We start from the raw sequence: 13,736 nt of genomic DNA on the forward strand, positions 1-13,736 counted from the left end.
CTCTTAACTCATGGTTTCCACTGCATCATCTTCTTTGAGATTTGCTGGGATTCGCTTTCACTTTTCCATGTCTATTAGGAATTTTACCGAAAATAATTTCTCTACTTTTTGCCCAAGTGGTTCAGAAAAATACAACTGGGCTCTTCTCAGAAAATACTTGACTGCTTTTGCTAAAATGTTTCCTGGACTGTAAGATCAGAGCCATTGTGTACAGCTGTGCAGGTTGTACACTGAACATGGCCAAGAAGGTTGAACAACTCCATGATCTAACTACAAAGATCATGTAATTAATACAACACGGTAGCTCAGCAAACGGTGTGCAGTGAAGATTCAAATGGCAGATAGGCTTCTTCGGGGTGGCCTGCTATATATAAGTGTAAAACAAAGTTCAGATCATGATAACTGCTAATAAGATTTTAATTGTCATGTAGAAGTGTTTCAAGAACCCATTATCAACTTGAGGTGGGTGTTCCTTATTAGCTCAAATGAGGAGGACAGGGAATTATCTTCAAAGTCTGACTTTAAATGAGCTGCCAGGTGTCATGGCCATCACCATTTCTTTAGTGATCATTTATTGTGTGCCAAATCCTGTGTTAGGCACGCTGAGATTTCTCACTGCAGTGACACTGTACTAAACCTGTAACAAGTTTGATTGCTTTAAGAACTGGAAAACTGTAGTAGAAGAATGACCAGAAAAATACAAGAATTAGAGTACACTAACTCACGACTGTAATCCTAGCACTTTGGGAGGCCAAAGCAGGAGGATCACTTGAGGCCAGGCGTTTGAGACCAGTCTGGGTTAGGCCGAACTCAAATGCTTGAGAGTTTGACTCCATCTCTACAAAAAAAAAAAAAAAAAAAAAAAAAAGAAAGAAAGAAAAAAGAAAAAAAAAAGTTAGCTGAGTGTGATGGCACATGCCTGTAGTCTTAGCTACTTGGAAGGCTAAGGCAGAAAGATCACTTGAGCCCCGGCATTTGAGGCTGCAGAGAGCTATGATCACACAACTACACTCCAGAGTGAGACCTTATCTCTAAAAACAAAAAAGAAAAAATAAGGAATTATATTAAGATGTAAGAATTGAATTTGAAATAGCTTCATTTATATAAATGGCAATTAGTTTCTTAAGGATTATAATTTCTATTTATCTTTTCCACATGTTCTGAAAAGGCATTAAGCTGCAGTGTAATGCTTTCTATTATCAGTAGGTGCCAAGTTGCTGAGTGAAGTAAAGCGAGCTTCTGTTCCTGTGGATACAGAGGGATGGCTGTGTGACCTCTGGAAGTCCCTTTGGTTAAGCGCTAAGGCTTAATGATTCTTTGGCTCAGGACCAAAGTCACATAATGTTCAGACCATAAGCCTCCAATGTTAGCTTTAAATTTAGCACAGACTTATGTAGTCATTATCATCCTTTCTTTGAGGTCTTAAAGTGCGGGCAATCTTTTTACCTGAGTTATAAGCTAGGAGCTCATGAAGCCCAGTTTAGTATTAGAAAAAGTAAGGCCATCAAATTATTGTGAGGTATCAAATATTTTGTGTGTTGGGCAGTTATCTTTAATACAGAAGAAGCTCAGTTTTCTAAATAGTTAAGCTAATTTTTGAAAGATTTCTTTTTTCTCTGTTGATAGTTCTTGAGTTTAGACTTTGAAGCTGGAGAAAACTGAGTTTGCTTTCTGACTCCACCGCTCATCAGCTTTGTGATGATGATAATAACAAGAATTATAATAATGGCTGACATTTCTAATGAGCTTTTGTGCCAGGACCCGGGATAAGTGTTTCATGTATTATTTAATTTATTGCGCATGATGACCATAAGGTGGGTCCTTTAATTATTCCCATTTTATAGATCAGAAAAAGTAGGCTTACAGCCCACACATAATATGCTACACTGATCCCTGGTTAGAGTACTCTTGCTTCAGTACTTCTGGGTAAGATACAGCTTAAAGCCAAATAGCAGAGCAGTTAAAAGCTCAGACTTTGGATCCAGATTGCCTGGATGGAAATCTTGTCTTAGTTACTTACTAGCTGGGAAAGTTACTTAAATGTTTTGTGCTTCACTTTCCTTATCTGTAAAATGTGGCTAATCAGCATAATAATTTTACCTCTTAAGATAACTGAGAGATTTAACTGAAGTTAAAGTTGTGAAGTGCCAATAATCTAGTATATGAGACGTGTCCAATAAATATTAGCCACTGGTAAAATAGCACTCGGTAAGGCTGAAGAAGATAGCTTCTGGAATTAGCTCCCAGTAGTTTCAAGTGGACTTGGACATTTATTATACTAAACAGTGAATGATTGGTATTGGATGGGTCTGAATTGATGTGGAGGGGTAAAAGTGCACTGTACCCCTGAAGTGGGAGGTGAAAGAAAGCTAAATATCCTTCCTCTTCTATTATCAAAAAGACAAAAACCAACAAATGCAGAGAAAAGGGACTCGGACACCGTTGGTGGGAATGTAAACTAGTATAGCTACTGTGGAGAACGGTATGGAGGTCTTTCAGAAAACTATGAATACAAGTACCATATGATGCAGCAATACCACCACTGGGAACTTATCCAAAGGAAAGGAAATCAGTATATTAGAGAGATAACAGGACCCCCATGTTTATTGCAGTGCTATTTACAATAGCCAGTATATGGAATCAACCTAGGTGTCCAGCAACAGATGAATGAATAAATGAAAATGTGGCATATATACACCATGGAATACTATTCAGCTATAAAAAGTATGAAATCTTGCCATCTGTGGCAACATGGATGGAACTAGAGGACATTATGCTAAGTGAAATAAGCCAGGAACAGACAGTTAAGCACCACATATTTTCACTCATATGTGAAAACTGAAAATGTTGATCTCATAGAAGTAAAAAGTAGAACAGAGGCTACTGGAGGCTGGGAAGGGTAGGGAGAAGGGAGGTTTGGGAGAGATTTGTTAAAGGATACAAAATTACAGCTAGATAGGAAAAGTTCTCGTGTTCCATACCACAGAAGGATGACTATAGTTAACAGTGATATATTACATATTTTCAAATAGCTAGAAGGAGGATATTGAATATTCCCAACACAAAGAAACGACTGATGTTTGAGATGATGGATATACTAATTACCTTAAACTGATCACCATTCATTTTCTGTATCAAAACATCGCTGTGTGCCTCATAAATATGTAAAATTATTATCTGTCAATTAAAAAAAATTTTGGCCTGTTTTTTCTGTTACTGTCCCTCTTGTTCAGGATATCATTTGTCTATTTGCTTGAACTCTCCCTGGGTTGGGTCCATAGGCACCTTGCTCCTGGAAACTGGGGCTTATAGAGGGTGGTCAGGAGAAGGTGTGAGGATGTGAGCAATTGCTTTCCAGGACAGTGTGCTATGGTCATAAGGGTGGAAGGATGAAGTGAGAATCACTCTGTGTCTTCATGAATGGATTCACATTTATTCATTGATAGGGAACGGCCTCAATCACAGTATCTTCTATTCTTTATGAATTGACTTTGTCTTCCAAAGCTTAGAAAGTAGATCTGTCTGGAACGAGAATGCTTTTTTTGCAGGGCCAGGGGAAGTTTGTGGGAGGGAGGGAGTGCATTTCCCTTTCCAGGAAGACCCTGGGCTGCCACTCTTCTTTCCTAGGAGCCTTTTTTGAGGCTCTCCTCTACTCCACGGATCAGGCATTGAAGACTGTCTGCATAGTCGTTTGGCTACTTTGTTTTGGAAAGGAAAGGGACTAATGTGTGCCACCTTTTGTGTCTCTGGAGATAGGAGAGAGGATAAAGACAACATAACCTGGGGGTAAAAAGATACCATTCACAGATTTCAGGATACTTTCTAAGGATGGCCTGGATCCTTCTTTTGTGCATTGATGGGGACCTCTAATAAACTGCAGTCCATTAGAGGTGGCTGCTCAAATGCAGAGTATAGAGCAGGGCTTCTCTACCTCCACATGACTGCCATTTTGGGCAGGATGATTCTTTGTGGTGGGTGTGAGGGACTGTCTTGTGCATTGTGGGATGTTTACCAGCATCTCTGGCCTCGACCCACTAGATGCCAATAGCATTTCCCTTGGTTGTGACAACCAAAAATGCCTCTCCAGACATTGTCAAATATCCCTGGAGGTCTGGGTGAGGGGCAAAATTGCCCCTGCTGCTGAGAATCCCTGGCATGGAGGGAGCAGCAATCCTTGATTACTTGCTCTGAGGTTTCAATGGCTTAGCATGAAATGGGCTAACTGCCTCAGTCTGAACCTGAGAACACATCCAACAAGTTTGTTCATTCAACAGTATTTATTGAGATATTCTACTTTTGGCAAATATATGTTGGTCTCAGTCTAAGCATGTGCATATAAAAATATGTGTGTGTAATGTATGGTGCTCTCTGGGAAGTACCTCATATTCTCAAGGGTAACAGGGGACTACAACTAGAGCTGTCCTACCTGCCTCTTCGGGCTTTGGATTAAATGTGGAAATGTGCCTGATGGAACTTTGCAAACACAAGAACAAACTATGCACAGGTGTTATGCATTGAAGTCAGGGATTGCATCATGGATGCATTCTCTTCAGTTCTGGGTACCACATGGGCAGGTGCCAAGTCTTACCACTTCAGCAAATGCTGATTATGGTGACTTTGCAAGAAAAATAGGACATGATCTTCTTGTAACTTATGACTCCCTACCTTTGCTCCCAGAGCACCTGCCTTCCCAGCCTTGGAGTAAGAATTGGGATATATATAGCAGTTCTCTCTGACAGTGGCTGTAAGCTTCACTGGTCCATGGTGGCTGGTGTGGCTAGGGACTACGATTGCTGACTAGGATTGAGCCTGTGGGTATAAATGAAGGCTCTGGTTGTGGTAGGCACTGTATGCTGCACAGGACCAGATCTGACCTGGGAAGCATCAGTCAAGGGGGCTGCTGCCTGAACTGCATCTAGGGGGAACGTAATTCCAGGGGAGGTGGGGAGGTGGCAGCTAGATGTGGAGGGAGCTGGAAGGTAAGTACAAAATTGTGCTCAGGGTAAGCACAGAGCCACACAATTTAACCATCCATTTGGGTCTAGTAGCTGTGGCAGCTGTGGCAATATTATTCCAAGTTCAGAAAAACAGAGCTTGAGGAAGAGCCAGGCAGAGTGGAGGAGCAAGAAGCTTCTGGCTGGTTTTAGTGAATAGGGACAGAAATCCAAAATGTCTCTTGCAGGGTGCTGCCTGCCTGAGTGTGTCTAGAGGCCTAGAGATGGGCCAGAAAGTCTGGAATAGGAATGGGAGCTGGAGGAAATTTTCTGCTCTGACTATTTTTTTCTTATTTTATTTCTTCTTCTAAAAAAAAAAAAACAGGATACATGTTCAGAATGTGCAGGTTTGTTACATAGGTATACGTGTGCATGGTGATTTGCTTCATGTATTGACCTGTCCTCTAAGTTCCCTCCCCTCAATCCCCACCCCCAACAGGCTCTGGCGTGTGTTTTTCCCCTCTCTGTGTCCATGTGTTCTCAATGTTCAACTCCCACTTACAAGTGAGAACATGCGGTATTTGGTTTTTCTGTTCCTGTGTTACTTTGCTGAGAATGATGGCTTCCAGCTTCATTCATGTTCCTGCAAAGGACATGATCCCATTCTTTTCATGGCTGCATAGTATTCCATGGTGTATATGTACCACATTTTCTTTATCCAATCTATCACTGATGGGCATTTTCGTTGGTTCCAAGTCTTTGCTATTGTAAATAGTGATATAATAAACAAACATGGGCATGTGTCTTTATAGTGCTGTGACTTTTTGATAGTAATACTTAGGGATGAGGCCCTTTATATTCATTCATTCAATCAGTCATTCAACAAACGTTTGAGTGTCTACTCTGTATGAAGCTCAGAGCTGGGAGCCACAGCAGATACAAAGAGGGAAAAGATATAGATGGAGCAGCTGGAAGTCTAGAAAGGAAGGAGCAGCATACCCACAAATCATGACCGTAGGACACAGCAAGTGTCAGGAGTGTCTGGAGGAGGGAGACAAAATACATAAGGCATGGAAGTGGCTCACAATGGGATTAGTAATATTTTTTATTTTTGTCTATTTATTATTTAATTATTTTTTAGAAATAAGGTCTTGTTCAACCACTTAGGCTGGAGTGCAGTAGTACAATCATAGCTCACTGCAGCCTAGACCTCCCAGGCTCAAAAAATCCTCTTGCCTCAGCCTTCTGAGTAGCTAGGACTGCAGGTGGATGCCGCCATACCTAGCTAATTTTTATTTTTTTTGTAGAGATGGGGGTCTCCCTATGTTGCCCAGGCTGGTCTTGAACTCCTGGGCTCAAGCCACCCTCCTGCCTTGGCCTCCCGAAGTGCTGGAACTACAGACATGAGCCACCACGCCCAGCCAGGATTAGTGATTAGTTAAAGTACTTATTGCCTGGGAAAAGCCCAGGAAGATGGACAGTGGGTGAAGGTAGTTAGGTTAACCTACTGAAGCTCAGATCTTGTTCTTGTTTCATTTCTTAAGATAGACGGAGTTTCATGGTTTGAGGGTCCGATTGCTCATAGGTTTTGGTGGTTGGTTATGGCCCTCCAGAAAGCACTGGCTTTCAACAGCCATGGACGGCTTATTGTACGTCTTTTTCAAAGGCCACTTTCTTCCTGGTGGATGTTTTCATCACGGGCATCCCATTCAGGGAAGCCTCTAAAGTGTAGAGGGTGTGGACAGCCTGGGGTTTTTACAGAGACCGACCTGGGTATATTTGAGGATTTTTGTCCCAGCTTACTCCAGTGACACATACTTTCCACACGAACTGCCCAAGAATTGGATTAAACCCTTTCTCTTAGCCCCATTCCTGATAGCATTGGTCTAGACTTCCCCTGCAATCTCTCCACAAAATAACAAAAATATTGACAAAAATAATGGAAACGATGGCAATTAACCTGCCTCTAACCCCTCCCTGCCTTAGGTTGTCACTGCAGCAGATAAAACCTATTTTATGGGAGACCAAACCACTGCCACAATTCCTAAAGTAAAGTTTATTTGCACAGAAAAGGAAAGGCAACTTTTTATTTGTCACCCTGCTGAGAAGAAATATGATTCCTGTCCTCTCACTTCACATTAGCTTTCCTTTTCCCCGCATGTTTTCATCCTATGGTGTCTGATCATTTTACAGAAAGGAGGATTTCTGCTTTTGACCTTACCTCTTGCTCTTGTAACATTCCAATTTTTAGATGGTCAGTCACCATTTGCCAGTTTTTGGGGGTGGGGGTGGGAACATGTTTCGAAGCTTAAGCATACAAGGCTCTTGCCCATTTTTCAAAAAGCGTGCTGGGTAGCTGGTTTCCATGTGATAGTGGCTCCTCGGGAAAGCTATTCTTTCATGCAGCAGCAGCGCTGGCATTGATCAGTGGGAAAGTTCAAGGCGGCAACTCATCAAGCATGCCTTCAATACCAGATTCCAGACAAGGTCTGCAATAAATAAGAGCAGTAACAAAGAATCATATTTCCTTCTTGCACAGAAAATCAGCAATGACATAGTTCTAAATTTCAGGGTTCGGGGATGGTGTCTTCTCCCTGCACTGCAAGTTGAAAGCAGAATGGCTTTTTCCTTTGAGAAGTGACATCCACGTGCATTTTAGCTGTTCTTTCCATAGAAACAGAGTCAAAATATAATTTTGAATATGTGGGTTGACTGGGGATTTTTCAGCTTGTGTATTGATTATTGCTTGAGTTGTTCAAATAGAACCTGTATTGTTAAAAACATGTTTTGAACATATTTTCCCACATTTGTTTTAATTGACTTATCTCCCTTTCTCCTCTAATCCTTTTCCCCCAGTAATAATGTCGAGATTTTCATGTGAACATACAAAAATAACAAAATTTTGCTTTAAGTAGATAGGTGAAAATTTTTTTAAAATGGCAGTGTGATAAAAAAATATACACCCTATGAGTCCCTCACAGATTATTGCTATTGATTTCTTTCCTTGAAACGTGGAAATGTTACCAGATGGGGTGTTAGGAGTAGGTGTGTGGGTGCAAATGCAGTTTATTGCTTGTTGACTAAAAATCAGTGAAAACCTTCACTATTTGTGTGCTTGCATTGCATGCAAAGATGAATTTTAATACCAAACCAGTCCTTATACAAAGCTTCTTGCTATGCAATGTCACATTTTTGGGTCAAATTTATATGTGAAGGAAATAAGCTTTATGACAGACTCAAAACGCAACGATTTCAAGTGCTTGCTCTCTCTGGTTTACTGAAACACTATCGTTTTATGTTAATGCGATCAATGAAATTTACTTATCACAATCAGATTTCTACTGTGTTTTCTCTCTTCCCCACACCCTCCCTGGGCTGCTCCTTAGAGCTTCCTCTGGTCTCCCTCTCAGGGCAGTGTTAATCAAATTGCTGCAGGTTTTCGGAAGCCAGGTGCCTGTGCAGCGCATGGCCACTGGGCCTGACCCCTCAGGGACGCACCCATTAGGAAAAAAGAGGCTGACCTTCTGTCACTTTCCTTCTCCTCCCTTTTAATGATTCCTTCTCTATCCTTTTGAGAAGATCTTTCCAGCCCTTTGACCCCTGTTAGAAGAGGAAGGCTTAAACAGCTAAAACTACCCTCAATATCGAGGCTTGGCAAGGAAAGCTCCAGAGGCCTTTTAGGAAATGCCAAAAGACAGGAGCCTCAGTTTTCAGTGCATTTAGAAGGCAGATCCCAATGCAACACCATTTCCTTCCTCATTTATTTTATAGAAACAGCCAGTTTGTGTTGGCGGGGGTGGGGGGGCGGGGGGGGGGAGCTGGGGGAGCCCCTCCTCCCACCGTCACTTGTCAGCGCCACCAGAATCCCCACGTTCCGGAGAGGCTGACTTTTAATGATAGTCCTTGGACTGTGTGAGAGCTATTGTGCTTTTTGAAAAAGAGCAAGGAGAATGTGTGTCTGGGGTGGGTCGCTAGGCTGCTGCTTTGTGAGCGCCAGACCCGGCTTTAGTTTTCATGGATAAACAACCAGCACTGGGTAGGTCGTGCCCCACCTTGAAATGGTGGGGTGCAGAGTGCTGGATCTCTGCAGGGAGGACAGTTGACAGCCTCTAGTGCCTACCTGTGCTCTCTGTATGACCTTGATTCATAACAACTCAAATGACAGCTAACACTAATATAGGGTGCTCACGTGGGAGCCATTGTTCTGCATAATATGAAATGATAAGATTTGATATGTATACTCAATAATTTAACACACACTACAACTCTGAAGTAGGTACTAGGAAATTGAGGTGAAGGAAAAGAGGTGTAGTTTTACCATGATAAGAAACTTTGTATTAGAAGTTTAGCTGTGCCAGTTACTTGCTCTTTGACGTGAGTAAATTGCTTAATCTTTCTGAGCCTAAATGCTCTCATTTGTAAAAAGGGGATTGTTAATTATGCCCCAAAGGGTTTCCATGAGAATTAAATGGGGCACTGTAGCATCCTAGGACCAAGGATCTCCACCTCCTTTCCATTCTGTCATCTCACCTCCGACCCTTCTCCGGGGACTCATCTTTCTGAGATACTGATGGGAGACAGCAAAAATGGGGTGCTTTTTAGGCACTCTGCACAGAGAAAGGGGGTAATTCTAAAAGGAGTGGCTGACATTCCTCTGTCCAGGAGAAGCTATAGATAATCTCTTATCTGTGTCACAGAACAGAATCCAAGCCTAGTTGCATCAGTCAATTATAGTTGAATTGGGAGTGGCTAAAAGGATTAGGAATTGGACTTCACATTAGAAGGTATTTGCTGCCATCTCCTCTGTAGGAAAAGGAAGAATAAAAGCAGGGTTTAAAGGTTCATGTTCTTGCTCAGATTAATCAAGTAGCCCCTTCCCCTCTTGATTTTATCTTGGAGATGCACATACATGTGTTCACACACAGGATGTGCTCACATGTTTTCTACACTTGTGATAGATTTAGAAGTAATGGTATTTAAAGAGCTTAAAAATATTTTTCCCTGGTTACAAAAGTAATGCTTGTTTATTGTATAGACAAGTATTTGTTTGGACATATAGAAAACTATAAAGATATTAATGTCTTCACCCAGGACACAGAGATAACCACTAAATGCATATTGGTGACTCCAAGTTTTTTCTGTATGCACACACACATACACACACACACACACACACACACACACACTTTAGCTTGTAGCCTACTTACAAATTTTGTTGTTTTTCTTTTAACTTTTATTTTAAGTTCAGGGATACATGTACAGGGTTGTTACATAGGTAAACTTGTGTCCTGGTGGTTTGTTGTACAGATTATTTCACCACTCAGGTATTGTCACTTTCCACCCCAAAACCTAATGGCATAGAACAACAGAATCATGTTTTCATTGTCTGTCATGGTTCTGGAAGTTAACTAGGCTCAGCTAAGTAGTTCTTGCTCAGAGCCTTTCATGCAGTTGCAGTCAGGTGGTAGCTTGGGCTGGTTATCTGAAGGCTGCTTACTCACAAGTCTGCCGTGTAGATCCCGCACTCTATACCCCACCATTTCAAGGTGGGGCACGACACACCCAGTGCTGGTTGTTTGTCCATGAAAACTAAAGGCAGGTCTGGCGCTCACAAAGCAGCAGGCTAGCGACCCATTAGTTATTTTTCTTGATCCCCTCTCTCCTCCCAACCTCCACTGTCTGACAGGCCCCAATGTCTGTTGTTCGCCTCTATGTGTTAATGTGTTCTCATTTAGCTCCCACTTATAAGTGAGAACATGCAGGATTTGGTTTTCTGTACTTTTGAACTAGGTATTATATTCTGAGCATTTCTCTTTATCATTAATGTATTGGTTACCTATTGATGCTCAATAAACCACCCCGAAACCTAATGGCATAGAACAATAGAATCATGGTTTCATTGTCTGTCATGGTTCTGGAAGTTAACTAGGCTCAGCTAAGTAGTTCTTGCTCAGAGCCTTTCATGCAGTTGCAATCAGGTGGTAGCTTGGGCTGGTTATCTGAAGGTTGCTTACTCACAGGTCTGCTGTCTAGTCTGGAAAAGCTTAAACAGCAGAAAGTTGGAACAGCTAAGCTTTTGGACATTTCTTTCTGTGATGTGCTCTCTCCTGCATGGTGGCTTCAGGATGGCCATGTTCCTTACATGACAGCCCAGGTCCAAAAGTGCATGTCTGTAAAGAAAGGCCAGGCTGATGCCAACTCACCTTTTATGTGGTGACCTAGTCTTGGAAGTCACATAGCGTTTCCTTACCACATGCTGTTCACCAAGGCAGTCTCAAAAGCCCACCCAGTTTCAAGGGGAGACATATGTCTCCCTTTGAGACATGGACCTCTCAAGTACTGTGTTAGTTTCCTATCACTGATCTAACATATTACTACAAATTTAAAGCAACAGGGATTTATTATCTTACAGTTTTGAAGGTTAGAAATCTGAAATGGGTTTTACTGGGCCAAATCAAAGTGTTGGCAGGGCTGCCTCCTCTGGAGGCTTGAGAGAGGAATCCATTTCCTTGCTTTTCCAGCTTCTAGAGGCTGCCCTCAGTTCTTGGCTTGTGGCCTCATTCTCCCATCTTTAAGGCCAGCAGCCTTGCATCTTCAAACGTCTCTCTAAATATGAGCTATTAGTTAGCCTGCTACAAATGGGAAATGGCAAGGCTTTGGAAGGGCACATGGGCCAGAAATGTTGCTGCAGTCATTTTTGCAAAGTACAGTCTGCCATAATTAAATATATTCAATGATTGCATAGTATGACTGTCACCATTTGCTTAGCCTTCCTTTATTGTTAATTTTAGGTGTTTCCAATATAAATAACACTATAGGTGTTTCCATTTAGGGTGTTTCAAACATAAAGAACACTATAGTAAACAAACATTGCTATAAATAAATATTTTTGCAAATCCCCAATTATTTCCTTAGAATAAATTAATAAGGATATTATTATATAAAAATATGAATACTTATAGATTGCTAAATCACCCTCCAGAAAGGCAACATTAGTTTTTCAGTAACATTGTATAAAAATATTTATTTTGCTATACCATCATTGATATTGAGTATAATTATTAAAAAACCTTACAGGCTGAATAGGCAGAAAACACCATCTTTTTTTGTAGCTTTATTGAGGTGTTAATTGATATACAAAACTGGATATATATTTAATGTATACAATTTTATGAATTTGAATATGTGCATATACCTGGGCTATCATCACCGTAATCAAGGTAGTAAACATATCTGTCATCTCCAAAAGTTACTTTGTGTCCCAATACTTTTTTGTGATATGAGCAAGAATTTAACATGAGCTCTACCTCTTAGCAAATTTTTAAGTGCACAACATTATATTGTTAACTGCAGGCACTATGTCGTACAGTAGATATCTAGAATTTATTTATTTTGTACAACTGTAACTTTGTACCAATTGAATGACTTCCCATTTCACCTTCACCCTATTCCCTGGAAACCATCACTCTATTTTCAGCTTCTATAAGTTTGACTATTTTAGATACCTCATATAAGTGGAATCATGCAGTATTTGTCCTTCTGTAATAGACTTATCTCACTTTGCATAATGTTTTCCAGGTCTATCCATGTGGCTGCAAATGGTAGGACTTCCTCCCTTTTTAAGGCTGAATAATATTTCATTATATGTGTATACTACATTTTCTTTATCCATTTGTCTGTTGGTGAACATTAGAGTTGTTTTCACACCTTGGGTATTCTGAATAATGTTGCAGTGAACATGGGATTGCAGATATCTCTTTGATATACTGATTTCATTTCGTTTGGATACATACACAGAAGTGGGATTGCTGGATCATACGGTAGTTCTATAGTGGTTGCACCATTTTCCATTCCCTCTGACAAAGTACAAGGATTCCAATTTTTCCACATTCTTGCCAACACTTGTTATCTTTTGTTTTTTTGATAATAGCCATCTTAACATGTGTGCAGTGATATCTCATTGTGGTTTTGATTTCCATTTCCCTGATAATTAATGGTGTTGACACTTTTCCATGTATCTATTGGACATTTGTATGTCTTCTTTGGAGAAATATTTATTCAAGTCAATTTCCTACTTTTTAGTTAGGTTATTATTATTATTTTGCTATTGAGTTGTAGGAGGAGTTCTTTATGTATTTTGAGAATTACCCCTTATTAGGTATATGTATTTTCTCCCATTCCATGGGTTGCCTTTTCACTTAGTTTATTTATTGATTAATTTATTTTTACTGGGAAGAAGAGTTTTAGTTTGCTGTTGTGCCCATTTGTCTGTTTTTGCTTTTGTTGTCTGTGTTTTTGGTATCATTTTCAAAAAATCATTGCCAAGACCAATTTCATGAAGCTTTTCCTGTATTTTTTCTTCTAAAAGTTTTATCGTTTCAGGTTTACATTTAAGTCTTTAACCTATTTTGAGTTGATTGTTGTGTATAGTACAAGTTAAGGAGGGATCCAATTTCATCCTTTTGCCTCTGGGATACAGTTATTCCATCACCATTTGTTAAAGAGTCATTTTCCTCCGTCATGTATTTTTTATTGAACATCAGTTGACAGTATATGCATGGATTTATTTCTGGACTCTCTATTCTGTTTCATTGGTCTGTATGTCTGTATTTATGCCAGTACCCTGCTGTTTGAATTACTGTAGCTTTGTAATATGTCTTTAAGTCCGGAAATATGATGCCTCCAGCTTTGATTATGTTGGTTATTCTGGGCCTTTTGTTTTTTCATATGAATTTTAGGATTTTCTTTTTCTGTTTCTGTAAGAAATGCCATTGGGATTCTCTTGGGAATATAATTGAATCT

General features: G+C 40.4%; 1 long non-coding RNA gene across 6 annotated transcripts in view; it reads left to right on the plus strand.

The window, feature by feature from the left end:
- Positions 1-13,736, plus strand: part of LOC107983981 (uncharacterized) — a 417,903-nt gene that overhangs the window by 112,715 nt on the left and 291,452 nt on the right. The window lies entirely within an intron of this gene.

The sequence above is a fragment of the Homo sapiens genome, chromosome 15 (assembly GCF_000001405.40).
Source record: "Homo sapiens chromosome 15, GRCh38.p14 Primary Assembly".
Classification (NCBI taxonomy): Eukaryota; Metazoa; Chordata; class Mammalia; order Primates; family Hominidae; genus Homo; species Homo sapiens.